General features: G+C 43.2%; 2 annotated features.

Annotated features, from left to right (window-relative positions):
• Positions 3,766-4,965: an enhancer, noted in NCBI's record as "MED14-independent group 3 enhancer chr12:106348645-106349844 (GRCh37/hg19 assembly coordinates)". NCBI's record gives its function as "activates an origin of replication core promoter dependent on BRD2, BRD4, P300/CBP and CDK7 cofactors, and independent of MED14, by STARR-seq in HCT116 cells {active_cell/tissue: HCT116}" and the evidence as "EXISTENCE:reporter gene assay evidence [ECO:0000049][PMID:35650434]".
• Positions 23,888-25,087: an enhancer, noted in NCBI's record as "CDK7 strongly-dependent group 2 enhancer chr12:106328523-106329722 (GRCh37/hg19 assembly coordinates)". NCBI's record gives its function as "activates an origin of replication core promoter dependent on BRD2, BRD4, P300/CBP, MED14 and CDK7 cofactors, with strong dependence on CDK7, by STARR-seq in HCT116 cells {active_cell/tissue: HCT116}" and the evidence as "EXISTENCE:reporter gene assay evidence [ECO:0000049][PMID:35650434]".

Genomic DNA, 25,462 nt, shown 5'->3' with positions numbered 1-25,462 from the left:
TTACTAATAAAGTTTGATGGAACCTGCAGGCAAAATCAGGTTTACCAAGCCTAGACATCTGGATCCATCCATGGGGTGAATCTTACCCAGGTGTTCAAAGCTGGTAAAGAACCGCAGGAGTCCTCCTATGGTAGCAGTTGGCTTACCAGATAGAGGGGAATGTGTGTGTGTTTGGGAGCTGGGGGTAGGAGTAGAGGCAGGCTACTCTGAAAATGTCAATAGCCTAGAAATGAATGAAATTCATGCACTCCCAACTTTTATCAGCCTCCCTAATTAGATATGATGATATTGGGATTTATAATAATAAATGTGTATCTATTTGGTCTTCATCCCTATTTCTTGGTACATACTCCTAAAACCCTTAGAGTTCTGGAAAGTGACAACTTTTTGCATGTTAATGAGGTGACTAGTAGCTGGGAGCTCCTGGATAGCCTCAGGATGTGGAGGTCCAGTTGCCAGGGGAACCAACCAGATGATTAGAAGGTCAGAATTTTCAGCCCCACCCCCCCAACCTCTGGGGAAGGGAGAGGAGCTAAAGGTTGAGTCAATCACCAATGGCCAATGATTCAATCAATCATGCCTATATAATGAGGCCTCTATAACCACTCAAAAGAACACCATTAGAAAGCTTCCGGACAGCTGAATGTGTGGAGGATCCTGGAGGCTGGTGTGCCCAGAGAGGGCATGGAAGCTTCCCCACTTCCCACACACTTTGCTTTATACATGGCTTCTATCTGGCTGTTCCTGATTTTTATTTATTTATTTATTTTTGAGACAGAGTCTTGCTCTGTTGCCCAGGCTGGAGATGCATTGGCATGATCTTGGCTCACTGCAACCTCCGCCTCCCAGGCTCAAGATATTTTCCCATCTTAGACCCCCAGTAGCTGGGACTACAGGCACAAACCACCACACCCAGCTACTTTTTGTGTTTTTTAGTAGAGCTGGGGTTTTGCCATGTTTCTCAGGCTGGTCTCAAACTCCTGAGCTCAAGTAATCCACCCGCCTCGGCCTCCCAAAGTGCTGAGATTACAGCCATGAGCACCTTGTTCATTCCAGGCTATTCCTAATTTGTATCCTTTTATAAGAAACCAGTGATCTAATAAGCAACTGTTTTCTTGAATCCTGTACGCTGTTCTAGCAATAGTCAAACATGAGGAAGGGTTACCAGGAACCTCCAATTTATAGCCAATTGGTCAGAAGCACAGGTAACAGCTTGGACTTACGATTGATGTCTGAAGTTGGTAGGGGAGTTAGCAGTGGAATGTATTCAAGTCCTGTGGCACCAAAGTATGTTAGTAGCAGTGAATCGTATGGGTCTGCAGCAACCTCCATTCTTGCCTCCTCATAAGAAAGAATCCGATGAAGGGGCATAAGGCAAAGGGAGAGACCAAGGCAAGTTTTAGAACAGGAGTGAAAGTTTATTTAAAAGCTTTAGAGTGGGAATGAAAAGAAGTAAAGTACACTTGAAAGAGGGCCAAGTGGGCAACTTGAAAGATCAAGTGCACAATATGACCTTTGACATGGGGTTTTATATGTTGGCATGCTTCTGGGGTCTTGCATCCCTTCTCCCCTGATTCTTCCCTTGGGGTGGGCTGTCTGCATGTGCAGTGGCTGCCAGCACTTTGGAGGGGCCGCAGGAGCAGTGTGTTTACTGGAGTTGTACACATGCTCACTTGAGGCATTCTTCCCTTACCAGTCTAATGTTCCTATAAGGTCATATACCAGTTAAACGCTGCCATTTTGCCCATTAATGCTCATGTGTGAGCCCAATCGCCCACCTCCTGAGATCTTATCAGGAAGCTGCTGGTCATCAGTTTCAGGTGTTTCTATCTACTAGAAGATTGCCTTTTCCTGGCACTGGCTGAGACCAATTATTATTTTAGAGAGACAGTTAACAGCTGCCTGACCATCACCTGATGGTTGCTGACATTCCTGGTGTGGTGGCTGAGTGGGGACTAGCTACCTACTGTAACAGGGGGAGGCAGTTTTGTGGGACTGAGCCCTTAACCTGTGAGATCTGATGTCAAATTGAGTTAAATTCTAGGACATCCAGTTGGTGTCCACAGAGAGTTGGTAAATTGGTTGGTGTGGGAAAAACCCACGTATCTGTTGTCAGAGTGAAGTATTGAGAGCGGTGTGAATGTAGAAGGAAAACCAATCTGTTTTTCCTTATTTAGATATGTCGTCTTGAGAGGAGGAAATGAGAGGTGGAAGGACAGGTAGAAGCTTCTTCTCAATCCTTCCAAGAAGCCTGAAGTCTCCCTGAGTACACAGACAGAAAGTCAGGGACAGAAAAGAGGAGTTTCCACTTAATCTTTCAATCCTGGTTTCCTTATCTGTAAACTGGAAGTAATAAGACTAACTGTCTCTTGGTATAGTTGAGAGGATTACAAGGATAATATTCTTATTTTCCCAGGTGGCCTAAAGACACCATCAGCTGTATTGGATTTAGAGCCTCTTCTTGTGAAAATTGCTAGTATTTCCAGTCCTTCAGTTCTTTCTTCTACACCTGGCAGTGTCCTGGGGGTGGAGTGAGGTGGCTCACGTTTCTCTGGATGGGAATTAAAGCTTTTCTGTGGCTGCCACTGTGGGCAGCCATCACTTGACACTCAGTGACTGTGACACTTCTGATGATGTTAAACTTGCAACTGTGACAGAAATAGAGGATGATTTTCTTCTCCCAGCCTGCTTGGTCCTAGAGATATAGCTTGATCACTAGATACCAGGAGAATGGTCTGCCTCTTTTCCTTCATATGATACTCTCTTCTCCTAAAGAAACTTTAAGATATACCCTCTGGGCTGAGGTCAAAGAAGGTTTGTACAGTACCACTCAGTGTAGTATTTACATCATTCTCCCAACTCAGAGTGAAATCCACCCATTTCAACTCCTCCTTTTCTGGGATGAAAGTCTTGACTTCAGTGGGATATCCCCCAGGGGCTGAGAACAGTTTTTGTCCTGCTTAGCTCAAGAATCTCCATCCTGGTGTCAGTTCCATTGCATCACCCAGTAACTATTCCTCCAAGATCTGATTTCAGTCCTCAACTCCCCCAATTCCTTCTCCCAGGAATAATGGTAGATTCTCAGCCCATATTCCTGTGGCTGGGCTCTGCCCTGGGACTGCAGAGTGCCCCTGTAGGATCGACCTTGCAAATCAACCTTGGATCTGGTAGCTAAGCCCAATAATCAATTAAAATGCAGACCTGTGGGTATTTGGGAAGAATCTACTACAATCTGGGTTTTTCCTTTCTTTGAATTTTCATGGAAACCTGGCTCCAGTCGGGCTGCTTGAGGATCTGTCAGAGACTAGCTTCAGGACTTCAGGCAACCCATGTACTCTTTCTGAACCTAAGTTTAAGGGATCAATTAGCATAGAGGCAGGACAATTCTGTCAAATCAAATTGTCAGTTAAAAATTCCTGCTGAGAGTTCTTTGAAGTCCCTGGAAGTGGAATCTATCCTAGTCGGAGGGGTCACCAACTTCTATCAGGAGGGTAGGACAGTGGATAGTTAAGCTTGCAGATTCTGAGCTAGACTGCCTTGGTTGTAACTCTAGACAACCATTATTAGATGTGTGATCTTGGGCAATGCATAATTATTCTGCAATTTACTTCCTTTTCTGTAAAGTGGAGATGATAATAAGAGTATCTACAGCTCCCAGGGTTGTTGGTTGAAGTAAAGCATTTAGAATGGTATGTGACATGCAACAAACCTTCAAAAAATGTTAGCAGCTTCTAATATTATCGGTTCAGCCACAGGAAATACAGGGCAAAGATCATTGGAAATATGATATAACACCAACTCTTCTTCAACTGTATCATATAGAGTGTATTTTTTGGGGGAAGCATGTAAGTTTCTCTTCCTTATGATATTGTGAATAACAATAGTAATAATAGTGATAATGATAGCTAACATTTATTGAGTTCGTGCTGCGTTCCATCATTGGGCTAAGTACCTGGCATGAATTGATTATTTAACTTATGACATTCCTGTTAGGTAGTATTATTATTAGCTCAGTGTAATCTGCAGCAACTCATACTGTTCTTAAGTGGCAGAGCTTGGACACAAACTCAGGTTTGTCTGAAGCCAAAACTTACGCTCTTATCTCGGTCTAACAGTTATAACCCCAAACCCTCACTAGCACAGAGGGAGAGCAGGTACTGTTGGGGCAAAGTATGGGTCAAGAAACAGGCAGTCCTGGATGTAAAAAGCCAAAATGCAGCAAAGGCACACAGAAACCAAAGCATCATCTCAATTTCAGCATGTTCAGACTTGTCACCATCTAGGGCTAAGGAGCTATCTCATGGTAACTGGTTTTGTTCAAGTTTACAACTCTCACCAAAGTCTCGTTTGTAGAAGCCTCAGCTGGGGCCTTCTCTGAAACTTCCATTGCATCACCCAGCAATTGCATTCCTCCAACCCTGGCTGCCAGCTTTCTCTGCAGAGAAAGCTGCCTTCTCTTTTTCTTGAAGTGCACTGGACATAATCTGAAGGTGCTCCGGGATACTATCAATGTTGGCATCCAGATCCAGATATGAAAGTGTAGTAAGTGTTTCCTGGGTTTGGTATGTCACTGATAAGCTCCCTGTCTCTTGGTTTATAGGCACTGTCAACATTTGAGTTGACATCAGGAGAAGCTGAGGAGAGCCACTTCCTATGTTCATTGCTGACTGAGGAGCAAAGGGCAATGTGAGAAACAACTTAGGCCACCCTCCTCTGAGGAAAATTTCTTGTGTCATCTGGGCAGCCCAGGATTTCCTCTCTAGATTATCTCTACCAGCACAGGAGGTGTGGACCCCACCCTGCTGATACCATTGACAGGGTGCGGCAGAGGGGTTGAGGGGCCTGTGTTGTCAATCAAGAGCTATTTTAGCAGGGACTGCACTGGCTCAGCTGGAGGGACCCAGCCCTGTGCTAGCTAATGAACCTGAAGTCCTGGGTTTCGAGTCCCCTGGTGACTCACCTGGGGCTTATAATGCATTGAATAGTGTCCTCCCAAAATTCATGTCCATCCAGAACCTCAGGATGTCACCTTATTTGGAAATAAGGTGTTTATCGGTGTAATTTAGTTGAAAATCTCAAGTTGAAATCATCCTGAATTTAGGATGCGCTCTAAATCTAATAATTGGTGTACTTAAATCTAATGATTGGTGTCCTTAAAAGAAGAGGACACAGAGAGACATGCAGAGAATAAAGAGATGTGAAGATGTAGGCAGAGATTGGAGTGACATTTCTGCAAGCCAAAGGACTCCAAGGATTGCCAGCAAACACAAAATCCACAATAGAGGCATGGGAGCCTCTGAGCCTCCAGAAGGAACCAACCTTGACGTCTTGACTCAGTCACCTGTTCTCCTGAACTGTGGGAGAATAAACTTCTGGTGTTCTAAGCTGCTCAGTTTGTGGTGATTTGTTACAGCAGGTCTCAAAAGTGAATATGGTGTGTATTCATCCGTTCTCACACTGCTATAAAGAAATACCTGAGGCTGGGTAATTTATAAAGAAAAGAGGTTTCATTGGCTCATGGTTCTGCAGGCTGTACAGGAAGCATGGCAACATCTGCTTCTGGGGAGGCCTCAGGGAACTTTTACTCACGGTGGAAGGCAAAATCGGAGCAGATTCTCTCTCTTGGTCCTGCTCCTGCCATGTAAGATGCTTGCTCTGGCCTTGCCTTCCACCATGGGTGAAACACTTTTAAACAACTAGATCTCATGAGAACTCACTCACTGTGCAGTACCAAGCAGGGAATGGTGCTAAACCATCCATGAGAACTCTGCCCTTATGTTCCAGTCACCTCCCACCAGGCCCCTCCTCCAACACTGGGGATTACAACTGGACATGAGATTTGGGTGGGGACACAGATCCAAACTATATCATGGGGCTTATATTGGGGAATGATGTAAATTCAAGATTCTCACCACGCACTGGAGTGCTCCAGAAACACATTCCCCAAGACACAGGAGAAAGTGAGGGTGGATCAGAACATGCTCTTCCCTGTTGCAGAACAAGTTGCAGCACGGCCCAGTCATTGTAAAGATACTGCTTGCTGAATCAGCTTTGTATGCTAGGGGATGCTCAAAGAAGCAGCAGCACAGGTGCCTGAGACCCTTACTGAGTCTCTTCCTTTCTCTGGTCCTCTCTTGTTCATTTACAAGCTGGAGGAATGAGGCAAAATCAGTGGCCCTATGCTGTGTTCAGTGAAGACCTAGGGGTATCAGAGAGGTGCCTCAGGAAGTGCTATGGAGGTAGGCAAAGAAGAAGCTGAGCTGGGGTGCTCCAGGCCCCAGCTCTTCATCTTTTATCTGATTTATATATTGGCCTTCCATACAAGAAGGTTTTACTGGTAACAGTGTTTGAAAATTACTGGGCCGGCACATCTCCAAGGCTCGTGGCTGTAGGCCTTTGAACATGAATACAAGTGGCTGTGTAAAGGCTCTGATCAGCATAGATGCGAGTCTCTCTTCTGTTCAATAGAGTAAAAGCCACTTTGCAATGCTCAGCTTTAGGGATGCTAGTCTCAGGATCAAGAGAGGAGGGTGATTCGTGGTTCAGAAAGTGATGCCTCTGAGTCTTCCATTGGCCTCCAAATTAATAGTCAACATTTCCTGGATCCCTTAGTAATTAATTAAAACAAAATGGGGTCAAGAGCCCTGCTATACCCCTTTCCATCCTCTGTCATCTCCTGAGCTCCTTTGAATGAGACTCTGTGTCTTGTGTTCAGGCAACCTGAGGGCCAGAGCCCAAAATGGAATCAGAGTAGAAACGGTCTATGCCAAGTGGCCATCACCACACATGCATGTAAGCTTTTATCAAACAGTTCTGGAGTTCCAACTCTTTAGTAGATACCAGGGTATATAAGATAGAATAAGATAGGATCCTTCATCCCAAAGAGCTCACAGTCTAGTAGAAGAGACAGGTCATAAACAAGTTAGTGCATCCACGTATGATAGGTGCTAGGAGAAGGGTGGATTCCAGGTAGGTACAGTTGTCCCTTGGTCTCTGCAGAGCACTGGCTTCAGGACCCCTGAGGATGCCAAAATCTGTGGATGCTCAAGTCCCTGATATAAAATGACTTTGTATTTGCTTATCACCTACATACATTCTCTCATATACTTTAAACCATCTCTAGATTACTTATAATACCTAATACAATGTAAATGCTATGTAAGTAGTTGTTATACTATATTGTTTTTATTTGTTTTATTCTTTTTAAAAATATTTTCTATCTGCAGTTGTTGAATCCACAGACACGGAGCATGTAGATATAGAGGTTCGAATGTATTGCAAAGTAAAAAGTGGGCACAGCTGGCAGAGTGGACAGTGAGTGCTTGGGCTTCAGAGTCAGCCTGCTTCATTTGAATCCTGCCTCTTACTAGCTCTGGAACTTTGGGCAAGTAACTCCAGTTTTCAAAGCCTTGGTTGCATCATTTATAAAATGGAGAAAACAGTGATAACTATGATATGTGCTAATGCATGTAAAGTGTTTAGTGCACCGCATGACAGTTACCTAGCGTGCAGTAAATGCCAGTTGTTATAATTATTACTATTACTGCTTAGGGTGGAGGCCATGGGAGTGTTTGGAGAGGAGAGGGTACTTGGGCTGGGTCATGAAGGATGAATTGAGGTTGGCTTTGCAGAACTTGGCAAGAGTCCAGGGCCACCATGTCGCACAGCTCCAAGAGGCATCATTCCCATTTCTGTCTCTGTGAATGGCACCTCCTGGAGTTGTTCAGTTCACAGCTACCACGGCAATGTGTAGTGGCTTTGGAGTCAGGATGTTCCCCCAGCAGGAGGAAGGTGCTAGAAGAGTTGTCTTCTCAGAGAGACTGCTGGTTTCCCCCTGCCTAGCTGTGGCTGTAGGGAACAACATGCTTAAGGTTGCCAGAGAGATGGGATCACAACAGCTACAGCAAATGGACAGACAGCACCTTTGGATAATGCAATTTTGAGAGCTGCAATTCACTGTGGGAACAAGACATACCAGTCTTGTCCTCATGACCCAGCCTTGGGTGACCCAACCATCCAGCCACCTTTAATGTATGCCATCGAAGTGAAGCTTAATTTAAGACAGGGCTTATATTAAATTCCACATGGAGTTTGTATCTCCAGAAAGTTCAAGAGGCTTCTTAGGTCATGTGATAATCTTGGCCTCTGCCTCACTGGGGCCAGATCCAGGTGGGGTGCTTTGATATCCTTCTAGCTACCATGCTATCATGAGGAATAGGGTACCTCTCCCTGACCCATCAGGCTGTATAAATTGGGCTTTGGGTTAGAAATGGGGCCCACGTCTCTGCCTGCTGTGGCTATCCCTGCTGCTGTTCAGAATTCCCTGATTCTGGGCTCTTGTTGCCCAGGATAGACTCTTGTCTGATTGGATCCTAGCTACCACTGTGCTCCTCTCTGAGCTAGTCAGTTTTGTTGAATTCACTCTCCTGTCCTTTTTAGGAATGCTGTCAAGATTGAGTAGGTCACCAGTTACTTGTTTTTAAATCCTGAGGCCAACCAATATTAGCTGTGTGACCTTGCCTACATTGCTTAAACTGTTTGAGCTTCAGTTTCTGTATGTGTAAAATGGAGACGATAGTAGCATTGACCTTGTAAGGATGTTGTAAGGATTGAATGGGATTTAATGACTATGAAGTGCTTAGTGCATGCATTAAAGACATTGTTATTTTCTTCATGTTGGGATTCTGCAGGGGGCACTAACAGATTCTTCTCGGAAGGCTGCTCTGATCGTGCCTCTGAATCTCTGCCCCCACATTGCCCTGAACATCTGGGCACCTGAGACATACCGGAGGCCTCCCTGACAGCAGGTGCTGAGCCCTCTCTACTTGTCCCAAATACGGTGCACCCAAACACCTCATGTGTCATTAAATTTTGGTTGAAACAGGTTTCTTTTTTCACTTTTGTTGATTTCCTCTAGAAACTTTATTTTTCTTAAAGTGTTTGGATCATTCAAGAATAAAAAATTTGATCCTGAAGCCTGAAAAGTATTTGTGGCTGTTTTGGCCTTGTTCTCTGGACCGTTGACTCAGAAGGTGGGGATTCTAGCATCAGTCACTCCACTTTCACCTCCTCTGAATGGATGTGTATGCTCATGCCAGTTTCCTGCAATGTAGAAACATTAGACATTAACTTTTCCAGGTCCATGTTGGTGCGTGCAAGGGGGAGTTGATGAGTTGAGTTGCTAGGAAATCCATCTCTGATGCAGATAGAAATAGTTCAGGAGACAATGTTCGGACAGAACATCCTTCATCCTGACAATCCCTGTTGCTCCCGAGGGCCCCTCTGGCATGTTGGAGAGGGGCCCAGGGAGCCAGAGAGAAGGCATCGGTCACTCTTCTTTGTTAAATTTCACATTTTAATTTTCTTTAATAGTATTATCTTTGTAAAATGGCACATGATAATGATTAAAACAAGTCACACAACACAGCAAAGTGCAAAGAAGAAAACTAAAGGTGATTCCCAATCTCATCACATAGAAATAACCACCTTTGACCCCTGTAATCATAATTTCATCCTCTCTCCACACATAGATAAAGCAATAGAGAGAAAAATATAGGAATGTTCCATGGATGTCTTTATTAAAACAAAATATTAAATTACATAGTCTGTTATTTCACAGAAGGAAAGGAAACAGAGAATTACTAAAATTTCAAATAAATATTTATGATACAACTGGTGATAAGTTCCCAAAAGAGCCTACTGAAGCTAAAACATAAAGATTATTAAACAAATGAATATGTTGGGGTTGCAGATTTTTTTTAAGTTTTAAATTTAGGCTTATCTATAAATTCCCTAACATGGCACTCTAAGAAATTATAACTTTTTCACTTCACCTACATATTCGATGTCTCAATTTTTATGTTATATGATTATTTTTTACATATTAAGTGGCAATCATTGCAGCTATATAGCTTTAGTTTTATATTCTGATATATTAATGTTCACCACCTATTCTTTTAAAACATTTTTAATCTGTTTTTCTGAGTTCTTTATTTTGATTCATCTTTTGGTTGGCTGGATTTAATAAGTCTTTTTTATTTATTTCAAAGGGCTCATTAGTGCTACATCTCTGATTTGTGTGGTGTGTGTGTTTGTGTGTTTGTTATAATTTGCCTGTTGCCTTTGAATCTGAAGTACAACTTCCTTGGTCATAAAATTCTTGGGTCATCATTTCTTTTCTCAGAATTTGTCATCTCTAAGTTATACTGTTAAGATGCTTGATATCAGTCTGAGTGTTACCTTTGAAGGGAACTGGTTTTTCTGCTTTTGTATCCATGGGATTGTGCAGCAGTGAAGGTGGGTGTGAATGATGGTGGAGGAAGTGGTGGGATGGTAGAGGTAAGGATAAGGTGGTGGAGGTAGTGGTGAGGTGGTAGAGGTAGAGGTGGGGCAATTGAGATATGTCTTACCCCATTCCTACTGCTATAACAAAACACCTGAGGCTGGGTAATTTATAAAGAAGAGAGGTTTATTTCTCACAGTTCTGGAGGCTGGGAAGTCCAAGATCAAGGCTCTGGCAGATTCTATGCCTGTGAGGGCCCAGTCTGTGCTTTCAAGATGGTGCCTCATGGCCTTCCCCACCAGAGAGGATGCATGCTGTGTCCTCACATGTCTAAGGGACAGAAAGGCAAAAAAGGGTGTAACTAGTTCCCTCCAGCCCTTTTGTAAGGTTGCTAATCCCATCCATGAGGGCAAGTCCTCGTGGCCTAATCACCTCCTAAGTGCCCTGCCTCTTAATAGTGTTGCACTGGGGATTAAATTTTCAATATATGAATTTTGGGAGGACACAGATATTCAAGCCACAGCAAGGTAGGGGTGAGGCAGTGCAGTGAGGGGAGGGGTGGTGGAAGCAGGAGTGGGACAGTGATGGAAAGATGGGTGAGTGCTGAAGAAGGGAGAAATGGAGTGGCAGGAAGGGGAGAAAGAGCGACCCAATGGGAGATGGTGCTGAGTTGCCTTCTTTATAATTTTGCAGCCCCATTAAGAAGAAATAGAATCAGTTCTGTGGCAAATGAGGATTTTAATGAAAGCCGAGAACATGATTACTTTACCTTGTAGAGAAAATAGCCTTCCTTTTTAGACCAATTTTATAAGAAGACCTCAGGAGAAACAGTACATTTCTATAAGTGACTTTATTAAGAGGAAACTTTCTGCAGTGTGGCAATGGCAGCCTTGCCATTTTTCATGTTTCAAGTGTCGAGTTTCACTTTTCCTGCTAGCAGAGAGGCCTTCAGCTTAGATACCTCCAATTTATTTCTGTTTGGCTTTGCAGGCCATTAAGCAATGGATTTGGCCACAGACTCGCCCTTCCTAATGATGTTTTTCTTGGGCTAATATAAAAAACCAGTTGGCAATTGCCAAGTAACCACAGGATGACAGCTTGGAGGAAGGACACAAAGGGTCCAGGTATGTAACAAATGGCAAAAAGAAGTCAGCACGTGATTTAGGCAACGCTGAACCCACAGAGTGGGCAAGGTACCCCTAAAAACATGTCTGTAAATCATTCGTTTGGAGGGGCTAACACAGCTGGAGCCACTGTGGCTCTGGAAAGCCACCATCACTGCCCTTGAAAGACAAATGGAAAAAATAAACCCTTGAGTGCCAGGCTCCTCCATCCTTCAATGCCTAATTGGTTATCCTGGCACAAAAGACTTTTACAATGTCACAAAGCCAAGTTCTATGATGATAGGACAGTGGAAAAGAAAACACTACCAGCGTCAGTGCCCAAAAAGCCACCATGCGAAATGAGGGAGGGACATATTTGAAGTCTGAGTTGTGTTCTAATTTTTCCACCTTGAACAGAGAATGCTCTGAAGGAACTTACCATTTAAATAAAGCACGCTGAAAGTTCTTGAAATCTGGGCGTGGTGGCTCACGTCTGTAATCCCAACATTTTGGGAGGCTGAGGTGGGTGGATCACCTGAGTCCAGGAGTTCAAGACCAGCCTGGCCAACATGGTGAAACCCTGTCTCTACAAAAATACAAAGATTAGCCAGGCATGATGGCAGGTGTCTGTAATCCCAGCTACTTGGGAGGCTGAGACAGGAGAATTGCTGGAGCCTGGGAGGCGGAGGTTACAGTGAGCCGAGATCTCGCCATAGCACTACAGCCTAGGTGACAGAGCAAGACTCTGTTGAGACTCTGTCTCAAACAAAACAAAACAAAAGCTCTTGAAATGTTAATGACAGCTACCATTTCTTGAGTATGCACTCTATGCCTTGCATGGTTCAAAGTGCTGTATGCCCACATTATCTTACTGGAGCCTAAAATCTATAAGAAGACAATACTATTATGATCCCTATGTCCAGGATACTTGTCACCTTGTCTCGGACACACAGAAGTATCTCTAGTTCGAGTGGACAAAAGACTTCCTCGGATGTTGTGTTCAGGCCCCTGCTTGTAACTGAGGATCTCGTGCACTACCCCTGCTGTAGCTGAGTGGATATTTTGGAAACCCGGAATCTAGTTTGGCTCATTCTTTCATCTGGCTCATAGTGATGAGGAAGGGTTGGTGAAAATTCAAGTTGAAAGTGTCAGCTCAGATCCTGGGCTATCTCCATCCTTATCCACCTGTGAATGTACCTCATGATAGTCCTTTCTTTCTGGCACATTGCATCCTCCTCAATCCTGCATCCTCACTCTCTTGACAACTTGAGGCTTGGAAGACTTCAGGTCATCAAAGGAGATAAACTTCTCTCCCCACTGATTTTCATATCCATACAGAAAGAGGGTGAGGTGTTTGCTCTTGATGGTAGCCTTGTCTTTGGAAAGCAGCATGCTCAGTTCACCCTAATTGTTGGTTTGCTGGGACTATAGGAAGGACATTGCTCTCCTCTACCAGATGAGACAAGAAGTCCGAGGCTTAGAGAAGAAAAGATTTGCTCAACTGAATACATTTAAAATGTGAAAGAGCTGGAATTTGAACCCAGACTCCCAAACCCCAGCTCTTAACCACCATGACAGGCATGGCAGCAAATCTAAGAAGCTGTTCCAGAAATAACCAGTAGTCATTCTCTTCAGATCTGTCCAAACCTGATTTCTCTGCCAGCAAAGATAAGCCTGGACTGCTGAGTTTTCACTGTCACGCCTCCTCACATATGAAGGCCTGAGTCCTCCCAGCCTGGCCTGCCTCCCAGTGACAAGTTAGGCTCAGACAGCAGGCTCTGTGCCCATCTGTCTCACTTCCCTCACTGTCCAGAGACCCCTCTCCTTCCTCTCTACTTCCTCCCTTCTACCCCCACTCCCCATCAATATTATCTCTTTTGGATGCAGACCTGCCTTTGAAGTAAACCAGGAGATTTCTTTGAGCGGGGGGTGGGGAGTGGGGGGTTGGGAAAAGTGTCTGGAGAGGTTGGTGAGGAGAAAAAGATGGGAAAGGGGCCTTCATCTTTTTCTTTCAACTCTGACCCGCTGATCAAAGCTCTGGCGGAACAGCAGTATTGAAAGGATCTGGTTGTAAAGACAGGATGGGTGTCAGTCCCCAGGACGGTATTATATGCTTGGAAAGGGATGAGAAATCAATTCATAAAGTAGATGAAAAATAAATAAATTAATTAATAAACCAGTCACAAGCAGGAGGGGAAAAAAAAAAAGCCCTACCATTTGCCCAGTTTCCAAGGAGCTCTTTGATAATACAGTGACTCTAGGCCATACACATTGGTCACATTATTTATCACTGGAGCATGAATGTCCTAACCACATCCAAGGGTTTTCACTGGGCTCCTTAAATCATCCAGGACCACAATGAAATGCAAATAGCCTCATGGAGAATTGGGAACAAAGAAAAGGCAGTTCTGGCCTCCAGCCTCCTCCCTCAAATCTGGAGTCAGCCCCAGGGCCCTAGTGGGGGCTTTTTTTGTTCACTCTGCCAGTCATTTTGTGTTGCTTTGTGTGGCTGGGACGACTGAGTTGGTCTATGGATTGGGTTCCTGGGACCTTTTTGTTGTTGTTGTTGCTTGTTCTTGAATATTGTTGAACCTGATCATAAGGAATGGAGTGCACCTGCAAGTAAGTTACTTTCCCCTAGAAACACCTTAAAGTATTTCTGTCTTTTCTTCATAGAATGATAGAAGTAGAAAAATACAGGATGATATTTGTACAGTTTTGGTTCGGAGTAAGTTAAATACAGAGAGGAAAGAATAAGACTGTTTTGGGCAGTGGGCTGGAGGTCTAGTTTCTCCTCTTGCTGGACTAACTCTGCCTTTCTGGGTGAGTGATGAAACCTCTCTGGTTTTCTGTTGCTTCATATATAAAATGGGGCTACCCATCATGCCCACTTTCTTTACCTCCTGTACCCCAACTTCCCCAGTCATGTGGTCTGAGTGAGACTGACATTCTTCCTAGCTTCAAGAATAGACTCTGACTTGGGCCAATCAGCATGCAGCCCTCTTTATAAACATCCTGATTGGTTCAGATATGGGCACATGATCTAAGCCAATCCAATCCAAGGAAATCTTAGGACTATTGTTGGAAATGCTGAGACACAGTGTCTTATTTCTGTTGGATGTGAATGAAGGATCATGTAGCTGTGGAGCTGTTTTCAGTCATTTTGACACCATGAGGGGAAAGACTACTTGAGAATGGAACCAACATCAAAGAAAATGGACTAATAATAAGCTAAGGAAAAAAAAAAAAAAAGGGACAGAGGGAAACCAGGTCCTGATCTCAAAATACAGTCCTGGATTAAGCTTTGCTGGAAGCTTCTACCATCCTTGGGCCATTCAGTTACATGAGCTAATGAATTCCCTTTATTGTTCTAGTTTGATTTTCCAAACGCTAATCGTCTAGGATTGGTCTGAGTGTCAGGGAACAGACCTTTTGACCTTTGGAGTTTCTTCTAGAAGAGAAAGGAAAAAAATCTAAAAACATTTTTTGGCTGCCTAATTTGTTCTAGGAATTGTTTCAGGCATCAGAGAACACTGGTGAAGAAGCTGTGGTTTTGTGTGTAGACAAACTTGGCTTAGATCCTCAAATCCCAAAGGTGAGTCAAATCCAAAATTCGAAGGTGAATAGGCCCACAGCCTTCATGACTCAAAGAAGGCCATTGAGGTGCTTTATCTCCTGAGCTGTGTATAAGACCTCAGTTGTTCATTTGGGAGATTTGAGTTTCACAATATCATGAATACTTCAGGTATTTACCTTAATAAAATCTCCTTATAGGGTGAGTATATTCATATGGATTACAAGTGTTCACTTGTATTGAAGGAATTAATCCTCAAAGTGCAACTAAATACTAATCAGAAAGATAACTGATTGATAAAGCCCATGTAAGTCTCCTTTTTTTGGCTTGCAGAGGCTTGGTTGGTTCTTTGAAAGCTGATCAGCACATTAGTGTTCACAAGACCTGGTGCTTTGCAAATCAGATGGAATCTGACTGCACTGGCTTTCCTGATATCCTGGGGAAACATTGGCCAACCATATTTTGCTGGGCAGTGGGAGTTGGAAATATTTCTAAATCCATTTTCTCTGTGGGGAGATTGGAGTATGATCAATTATCAATAATCTGTGGCGCTAAAGACAAGACATTTACCACCACACAGTTTTGGCTTTATTTCCTCCACTATGTGGCATAGGTGCCAACATTCCCTGTCCCAGCTCTGGTCCTACCCCAAGGATAGAAATTTCTAGTCAGTTGAGCCTTCTTTCAATACACAAGAAAGGTGTCCTTCAATTTCTCAAGGCAGTGCTTAGGAAAGCCATTTTCTATTTCTTTCACTTAGGATTCTCTTGGCTACAAGAGATGGAAAACCCAACCCATTTTAGTTTATGCAGAATGGGGAACTTTATAGTTTCTATAATGGGACAGTACAGAGGAAAGATCTGGCTGCAGGCATGGCAGGAATCAGGGCTCAAATGACTTGCAGGCAGGACTCTGCTTCCCTCTCTCAGTTCTGCTTAATTCTGTATTGCCATCATTCCCAGGCTGCTGCTTCACGCTTGCAAGGAGCTGCTAACTGCACCCTGTACCTCCATTCAGACTCACAGCCATTGGAGAAAGAGAAGGGTGAGACCCCCAAGAGCTCAAATAAAATCAGGGGGATGAGTCTCATTAGCTCTGATTGGTCTAATTTGAGTCACATGCCTATCTCTCAGCCAATCACTGTCACCCACAGCATCATGTGCTTATTGCTGAACCAATCACTGTCACCAAGGGAAGGATATGTGCTGACTGGCTTAGCCTGGTCATGTGTTCCCTCCTTAGAGTCTAGAGGGGTAGAAATGATGAAGGCAGCTTCACAGGGAACACATAAAATGGGAAATGCTGTGCAGTGCTTCCTATCAAACAATATCATAGCATAACAATTTGCAATTGCAAAAATGTGGAACCAGCACAAATGCCCATCAATCAATGAGTGGATAAAGTAACTGTGGTATGTTTATGCAGTGGAATACTGCTCAGCCATAAAAAGGAATGAATGAATGGCATTCGCAGCAATCTGGGTAGGATTGGAGACTATTATTCTAAGTGAAGTTACTCAGGACTGGAAAAACCAAACATCCTATGTTCTCACTTATAAGTGGGAGCTAAACTATGAGGATGCAAAGGCACAGGAATGACACAATGGAATTTGGGGACTCAGGGGGAAAGGGTGGGAAGCAGGTGAGGAATAAGACTAGAAATCGGGTTCAGTATATACCACTCAGGTGACAGGTGCACCAAAATCTCACAAATCCCTACTAAAGCACTTATTCATGTAACCAAATACCACCTATTCACAAAAACCTATAGAAATAAAAACTTACAAGGAAAAAAAAGAGGCAATTAGAGGAAAAAATATATCATAGCATAGCAGAAGGGGGAATGGAAATTGTGCAGGGAAAAAAAATCCTCATATCCTCTCATTAATTAAATGTAGTTGACAAGCAGTATTAATTTGTTTGCCAACCAGATCTTAGTCACAATACTTAAAAAAAAAAAAGCTTTCCTAAGCTGTAATTCACATGCTATACAGTGCACCCATTGAAAGTGTAAAGTTGAATGGTGTTTAGTATGCTCATAGACCTGTACAACCACCAGCACAATGCACAATCAATTTTAGAATATATTCATCGCTCCCCCCAAAAAACTTCATACCAACTAGCAGTCATTTACTCTTTATCCCCTTCGTCCAGCACCTGACAACCACTAATCTATTCTCTGTTTCTATAGATTTGCCTGTTTTGGACAATTCATATAAATGGAATCACACAATATGTGTTCTTTTGTGACTCATTTCTTTTACTTAGCATAATGTTTTCAAAGTTCATCCATGCTGTGGCACGTATCAGTACTTCATTCTTTTTTATGGCCTAATAGTATTTGATTGTATGAATTACTATGTTTTATTTATTAATCCACTAGTTGACAGACATTTGGATTGTTTCCATTTTTTGGCTATTGTGAATAATGCTGCTCTGAACATTCATGTCCAAGTTTTTGTGTGGACATATGTTTTGATTTCTGTTAGGTTTATACTTAGGAATAAAATTGCAGGCTGATAGGGTAACTCTATGTTTAACATTTAGAGAAACTGCCAGACTGTTTACAAAAGTGGCTACACCATTTTATATTCCTGCCTGCACTGTATGAAGGTTCCAATCCTCCCCAACACTTATATTATCTGTCTTTTTTTTTATTATAGCCATCCTCATAAGTATGAAGTTTAGGCACCATGCTTTTTTCCTTTTTTAACGGCATCATACTTTTAATCGTCTAAAACTGCCATAAGATAGACTGAGGTGTTCATTTATGATTCTATGATGAAAATTGGTTTTCTCATAGGTGTGGAATACTGAGAGGTGACACCATTTTCCAACTGAAAAAAACCCATAACACCATAGATTTTTTAGAGAAGGAAGGAATTTGAGGCCATCTTGTTTAATTGGAACAATGTTTCTGCATGATGACCAACTTAGGAAAATTGTGAAGGTTTATGGAACATATTCATATACATATTGTTATATATATAATATATATATCAACATATTTGAAAAGGAGAACTGCTTTATTGATTCTAAGATGTGATAAACATCTTTTAACTCGGAGGACAAGTTTTTGACTGGAAGATTGTCAGCAAGACTATTGGCATTGCTTTTGAGTTGCTAAAATGTTCATATCTGGGCATAGTTAAGAGCAGCATGGAAATAGGTTTTAATATTTCAATGCTCAAGTTTGATCATAGTGCAATTATGAAGCTTTGGTGAGATCAAGGGCCATGGGTTAAGGCAATGATTTAGACCAATCTGCCTATGAATGAGGATCAGAGGCCCAGGTAGAGAAACTTGTCCGAGGCCAGTTTGAATTAAATCAACAGCTGTCCCTACTTTTTCTCCTGATATTCCAGGTCCCACTCTTCACACAGCGTCCATTGATGTCCTCACCCCCATACTTGCAAATCTTGTTTTACCCCAGTTTCTCAGCAAGCCTAAAGGAGTAAAGAGAGATGTAAGATCTTGGAATGAAGTCTATTTGGGAATATCTTGCTTTTGCTTTCCTGGCATTCTTCTCCCTCTTGTTTTAGTGACAGGATCTTTCTTTCCTCTATGGAAACTATTCTATTTAGTTTAGGTGAAACCAACACTCTCCTATAACCATGTGTGTTCCCAGGGGTGGGCAGATGACCTAAAGTGTATCTTCCTCTGGTCACAGTGATTGGTTGAAGGATGAGTATGTTACACAAACTGAGGCAATCAGAGACCTTGCCATGAGTATTATTCCAGAATTATTTTCTCCCTTTTCCTGCTATGCATAGCAATAAATTTGGAGCTGACAGTCACACTGACCAATGTTGCCACCATAAGGAGGGAGCTTGTTTGGGAATAAAGCTAGCACAAAGCAGAGCAGAGAGGAGAGAGGGAGGGGACCGAGATTCCTGAATACTGCACTACCCCGAGTTTCTTCAGTGATGTCACCTAAAAACATCCCTTTTCTGCTTATTCACCTTGACTTGGGTGTCTGTCACTTGCCACCCTAAGAATCCTGGCTAGTTTGGTCATGATTTCCTGATGACTGACATTGTGGCATGTTGACAAATTTGATGACCACTGCAGGCACTAAGAGCTTGGGAGGATTCAGGGGGCAGAAGTAAAAGATAGCATTGGAGGTGGTAGTGGTAAGCCAATACAGCACCCTCTCTGACATTATTCTATTCAATAAATCTGGTCCTTTAAATTGGTTTAAAGGCAGCAAAAGTCTAGTAACTGGAGGAGGGTGAAGCTCGTTTGTGAGCACGGGAGAAGTGGCCCCCTTGGAAGAGTGAACTCTCAGGAGTACCTGAGATCTTGAAAGAGGGGAGGGGTGGCTAGAATCAGAGACATGCAGTTTAATCTTTTTAACTTGCCTTATTTTACTCCCAGGATGGTGGTGTGTCTTCGAGAAACACCAGGGATGTAAGGGATGACCTACATAGAGATAATCTATCTTGTGTTGTTGCGGTGGTGATTAAATGAGATAATGTAAACATTATTCAGATGAGCTTGGAAGGACAGTGGGGTGGGTTATAGGAGGAATCAAGAAAAACTCTGTATTGGAATTCACCCTAAATAAATAGTAGAGGTGCATAGGTTTGTTTCAGGGGCATGAGACAGTCATAAGAGGGTGAGTGATGTTCAGTACATCAGATATGTATCACTTCTCCAACCCAATACTGAGAGGCTCTTGATTGGGTTTTCAGGAAATGAGTGCTGAGAATAGAGTGGAAGGAGGTCTTTCTGGCAAGGCTAGGAGACTAAGGCTAGCAGTGATAATGACAAGGTAGCTAGAGGTGGCTTTGGGGACAGCAGAAGTGGGGACAGCAAATATTCCTGATGGGGCAGAAGTCAAAGAGCAATAGAAGACTTGTTCCTGTGCACATCTGATATTGTCTAGTGACTCCAAAGGGGTTAAAGGACAGTGTAGGGAGGACAAGTTCTGGCATTTTTTCTAGTAGGATTGGAACAATTTTTCTAGTAGGATTGGAGCTAGAGAAACACTGAAGGTGCAGTTGCTTCTCCTCTTCTCCTCTTCTATAAACTAACTCTTACATTTTTGATTGACTATGCTTTAGCCTTTGTATAAATACTTTTCCCTCTGTCTGGCTTTCCTGGGTCCTGAAGCCCAGTGAATATTCATCACTGATGTATACACTAGGATTGCTTCAACCTAAGGGAAGGGGGGCCTGGACATTCATGGTGGGTAGAATTTTTGGTGACTAAGGTAGTAAAAGGGAAATGGTGGCAGTGAAGTATCTTTAGATGAGAGAACTTTGGGTGTCCTTAGCTTCCCCACCATTCTGTTCTGGCATACAAACACCCTTTGTCTTGTTCTTAGATCTGCAGCGTGATATGTCAAATGCCTCAACATGCCCAGTTTGGAAACTTATGATATTTATTGCCAACTGGGAAACCAAATTCTTTTGGAATACATGAACACATTATGAGTCTCTCCTCAGGCAATGAAGTAGTGATTAAGTAGATACTTGTCTACAAAACACAGATGACACTTCAATCTTTGGAATCTTTGATTTCTGAAACCAATCTGTTAAAGAGGGAAAAGGTTCATGCCAGCCTCTGAGATCCTGAACTGCAACTTGAAAACCGACCCCTCTTAAATAGTCATAAATTCAAGCAATTCCAGGGACAAGTTCAAGCCCATACTGAAACTATAGGTTTTGGTGACATGAGGTTCACGTTAACTATTTGAGCAGATTTGTGGGGTTTTTATATGGTAACTGCATGGTTCAACAAGCCACTTATGTGGATAACAGGATAGATGCTGAATCTGGAACTCTCCTAAAGTATCTAGTATGCTTGGTTGTCATGGGGGGTGGTAATATCTAGGATGCAGTCCACATCCAATATTCAGACAGGTACTGTGAAAGTGATGTTGCCATTTATTTCTGTGATCTGGCAAGAGCACAGGATGTGATATGCTGGGAGACATCTGAAGAGTTAAAAGGATCATGTTTCTTTCTTTCAAATGCAAGAGGTCAGATTGTAAAGATGGCTATTCAATTGGTTGCCTGTGTCTGTGGATCTTATACCATTCAATTGTAAGTTCCAGAGATGGATGATTGTTTTTTGCATGTCTCAACTGAAGGACAGAGAGAGATTGAAAATCCAAAAGGTCCTCCTTTTCCTTGCTGAGGTGTGTTTATTTTTATACTTCTTCAAGGACAGCAGTTTTGCACAGTGCCTAGCACATAGCAAGACCTCCAAGAATGTTAGACCATATTGTTAATATTACATGTTTTGGAGGCTAAGGCCCAAGTAGAGAAAATATGAGCATTGGAGTCTAAAACCCAGATCTGAATTTGGGCTTCACCCCTTACTTGCTGTGTGACCCTGAGTAGGTTACTTACCCATTTTGAGCTTCAGGTCCTCATTTTGTTTTACGGCCACAATTCCAGTCTCGTAGAGAGTGTAACCCAAATAAGAGAGTCGTCAAAGAGAGAAGGGTGCAGGAAAGGAGCAGGAGAGAGTGCATGCTCGATTGAAACAAATGGTGGGTCCCGTGACCCTACTGAAATTTCACAAAGCCTTTCCTGACAAAAGTCCTGAAGTTGACAAATTGAGGATTACTGTGTCTTAAATTTCCTATAGATGTATATTCTCTTTACCATGTATTCTGAAAAGTAAAGAGAGTCCTTTTTGTTGATTTATCCTGAGTTGGAGGTGGTGGGTGGGGGAGAAGGGTTGGATCAGGAAGTAGATTGGGCTAGTACCTACTGTTTGTGGGATGGAAAGTGCTTAACTATTTTGGAATATGTACATACAGGACATATTCCATGTTTTAAGCCTTCTCAGGATTAAAAATACTTCTCTTTCTTTGGCTAGGGTAATGTTGCTAAAAAATGACCAAGAAGCTGGTGAAAAGGGATGTGGTTAGGGTTTGGGAGGGTTGGAGGATGGAAGGAGATCCTTATATGAAAATTCATTTTATAGCCAGTAGAACCTTCCAATAGAGGGAAGGTAAAGTAGTTAACTTACCAAATGGGGTCCCTGGGGAGTTCCTTTAGGAAGCATGCTCCTTATTGTAATCCAAATTTATTTGTGAAAGTCTATTTTATGCCACTTTTTATATCCTACAAAAGTTAAAATTCCTCCTTATCAATGTAGTAAATTTGGGGAATTGGGGAAAAAAGTATGTCTCTTAAAGATTTTGCATCAAATGCTCTATTCTGGTCTGGTGCCACCCATGCTGGGAACCACATAGTATGATGGAAACTGGGAGTCAAGAGACCTGGAGTCTCTTCTAACTGTGCCTTTAATTTGCTCTGCAGCCTTGGGTGCTTACTTTCCTTCTCTGGTACTCAGTTTTCCTATCTGCAATATAAAGACCTTGACCAAGGGAATGTGGATTGAAAATTTTTAAAAAGTTATGTATATGGGATACAAATGAATTCTTTCACTGATATGAACATTCATGGAGTTCAATACAAAAATGGTGAAAGTGGAGCCTCCAGCAGCTGCCCCATCTCTGTATTAGTGGACCCCAGGGTGTCCCTGATGAGCCCCCAGGGCTCTGCAGATATCAATATGAAAACCACAGAAGAGGATCTTCAACATCATGTTCAGCTTTGTTATTTCATAGACAAATGTGCCATAATGAATACACAGCCCCGAGGCAGACCAGAAAATGTTTGTGCATGAGGTGGGAGGGGTGGGGGACTTCCCTGGAGCCTGGTCAATGCTGGCTGCTAAGAGAAAGCAGAGAGCAGTCATTCTCTTAACACAGATGGATCTGAATGCAGAGGGGCCACAGAGTCACATGGATTCTTACAGCAGAGCAAAGGAAGTCCCCATCCAGGAAGGCTGTTGTGGAGGAGGGGATCAGGTCCTCATGCTCTAGCTGCCATTTGGCTGGAGGTAGCCGGGAAATGGTCAGCTGGCTTGGGATCAGGGCATTCAAGAAAAATGCCTTTGGGTGCCCTTGCTTGACACTGTTCCTCTGGGTTCATTGAATCTGTACCTGGGCCATGTGGAATAAGCCAAACAGGCTTTGGGGTAAATGCAGACTGTATCCCCCTTCCCCTACACCAGGACAAGTGCCACCCAGCCTTGGAAGTCCAGCTCCACCCCAAAGCCCTTCCTGACAATGGCCGCTCCTATGTTTGGCAGCTTTAGTCCACTTTTAGCCTGATCACCTGCTGAGTCCACCTGCAGGCCTTGAACTGACCTAGTTCCCAGACCAGTCCTGAGAAGGGTGGAGCAGTGCTTCACAAAGTATGTGCCAAGGAACCCTGTTTCCATAGGAGATTAATGTGTGTTCAAGGTAAAAATAGATATTGTACCAAGTAAGCTTGGGAAATGGTGAGTTGAAGTTAAGCAGATTTCTTCATTATGGAACATCTCAGAGTTGAAACTTTAAGAGGTAGTCATGTGTGGATTTTCGAAACATATTTGTTTCAGGGAACCTTCCACCTTTGCTTTATCCAGCATCTGTTCCATGGAATTCTTTTTGGGGATTGCTGGGACAGAGTGTTTAATCAATAGCTTCCACACTTCTATTCAGTGATGCTTAGAATTAACTCAGGCTTCTGTCTTTAGGAGTTGGTAGCTGAGTCATGCATTCATTGCTGAGTTTTTGTGTTCATTGCTGAGCTTTTGCGTTCATTGCTTAACCAACATTATTTGAGCACTGCAATTGTCAGGCCCTAGGTTGGTGTGAGACCACAGAAAAGAGTAAGTTACCCATTTCCTGCCCTGTGGAGTTCACAGAAGGCAGTCAAAAGCAAATACGTAGCTGCAAACACAGATGGCAGACTCTGTGCTAGAGGTCCTCAGCCTGGTTGGAACATCTCCAGCACTGAGCACAGTGCCAGTGCCTGGGACACAGTGGGCAGTGGTATCAGCTCTGGTCGCCTTCAACTCTGAGTTGGGAGCCATAGGCAATCCTAAAATATTGGTTGACACAAGTAAACAGTTTGTTTTTTCCTCCTGTGGTAGGCTGTATAATGGCCCTCAAAGATGTCCTTGTCCTAATTTTTGTAACCTAGGAATATGATTCCTTACATGGCAAAAGGGACTTTTCAGATGTGATTAAATTAAGGATCTTGAAATGGGAGGATTATCTTGGATTATCCTCATGTCCCTGCTGTATCCTGATTGTCCTGATGTTCTCACAAGGGTCCTTAAAACAAGGACGCAGCAGGAGCCAGAGAGGAGAAGAGGCATGATGGTGAAACCAGAGATTGCAGGGATGTACTTGGAAGATAAAGGGAGAGGCCACAAGCTGAGGCACAAATGTGGCCACTAGAAATCAAAAGAGCCAAGGAAAAGGATTCTTCCCTCAGAGGAAACAGAAGGAACAAGCTCTGCCAACACCTAGGTTTAACCCCAAGAAACTGATTTTGCACTTCTGACCTCTAGAACTGGAAGAGATAAATATATGTTGTTTTAAGCCACTAAGTTTGTGGTCATTTGTTACAGCAGCAGTAGGAAATGAAGACACCCACCTAACACAATATCCAGAAGTAGGTGGCAGGAGGAATGTGCAGCTGCTTGAGCAAGTCGTCCAGGATCGAGCTCTTCCAGATTCCTGTGGCACCATCCTCCACACGTGGCATTCTTCCTCCTGATTATAAGGTGGGTGCGATATCTCCAGGCGTCACGTCCACATGGCATGCTGAAAGGAGAAAAGGGCTAAGGCTTTTTCCTTGGAAGCCTCTCCACCCCCTCTTTTTTTTTACATTCAAGGAAAGATGCCATTTCTAGAGATATCTGCTTAGATAGCCTCTACTTGCAAAGAAGTCTGTGAAGGTGATATTTTTTTGATGGTGCATGTTACTTTCCTGACCAAACTGGGATTCAGTTGGTAAGGAAGAAGGTGATAAAGGACATTGGGAAGGCAGATATCCTAGTATCTGTGACCATCCTAGTGTCCGAATGCTCAGTAAATATCTGTTAGAGGACTAAATGAATTATGGAAGGAGGGAAAACTGGAGTCAAGTTGTAGATCTGTTAGCCCATGTGAGGAAGTGGGGGACCCTGAGCTAAGGCAGGGATATAGGGGTGGGTAGATTGGAAGGGATGTGAGAGTTAATTCAGATCCACGGGGCTTGGTGACTGAGTGGAGAATCAGTGATGACACCCACCTTTCTAAGTCAGGTAGCTTACTAGATGGGGGTGCAGTTTACCAGGAAATGGAATACTGGGTGGTTTTGGATCTTCTGAGTTCAAGGTGTCTGTGGTCCAGTCCTCTTAACCTCCCTCCCTTGCCTGCTTCTCAAGGCTGTTTGCTCAGGACCAGCAATTTCCCAGGGGCGATCTGTCTGTGTGCAGCTGCAGCCACAGGGTGACACTTCTTTTGTTTTCTCTTTTTATCCCTTTCCTGTCTGGGCTGAATCCAGCCATGTTGTAAACATTTTTACGGTCAAAGCATCTTGGCAGCATCCTTCAAGCTCCAGCCTGGTGCCTCCGCTCCGTGACTCACTGGCAAAGATCTTGCTGCATAGGATCAGTTTGTTTTTTTCAGGGGGGTTGGAGTGGGGCGGAAGGAAGAGCC

Source organism: Homo sapiens, chromosome 12 (assembly GCF_000001405.40).
Source record: "Homo sapiens chromosome 12, GRCh38.p14 Primary Assembly".
Taxonomy (NCBI): domain Eukaryota; kingdom Metazoa; phylum Chordata; class Mammalia; order Primates; family Hominidae; genus Homo; species Homo sapiens.
The sequence above is the reverse complement of the archived record's forward strand: the minus strand, read 5'-3'. Positions and strand labels throughout refer to the sequence as shown.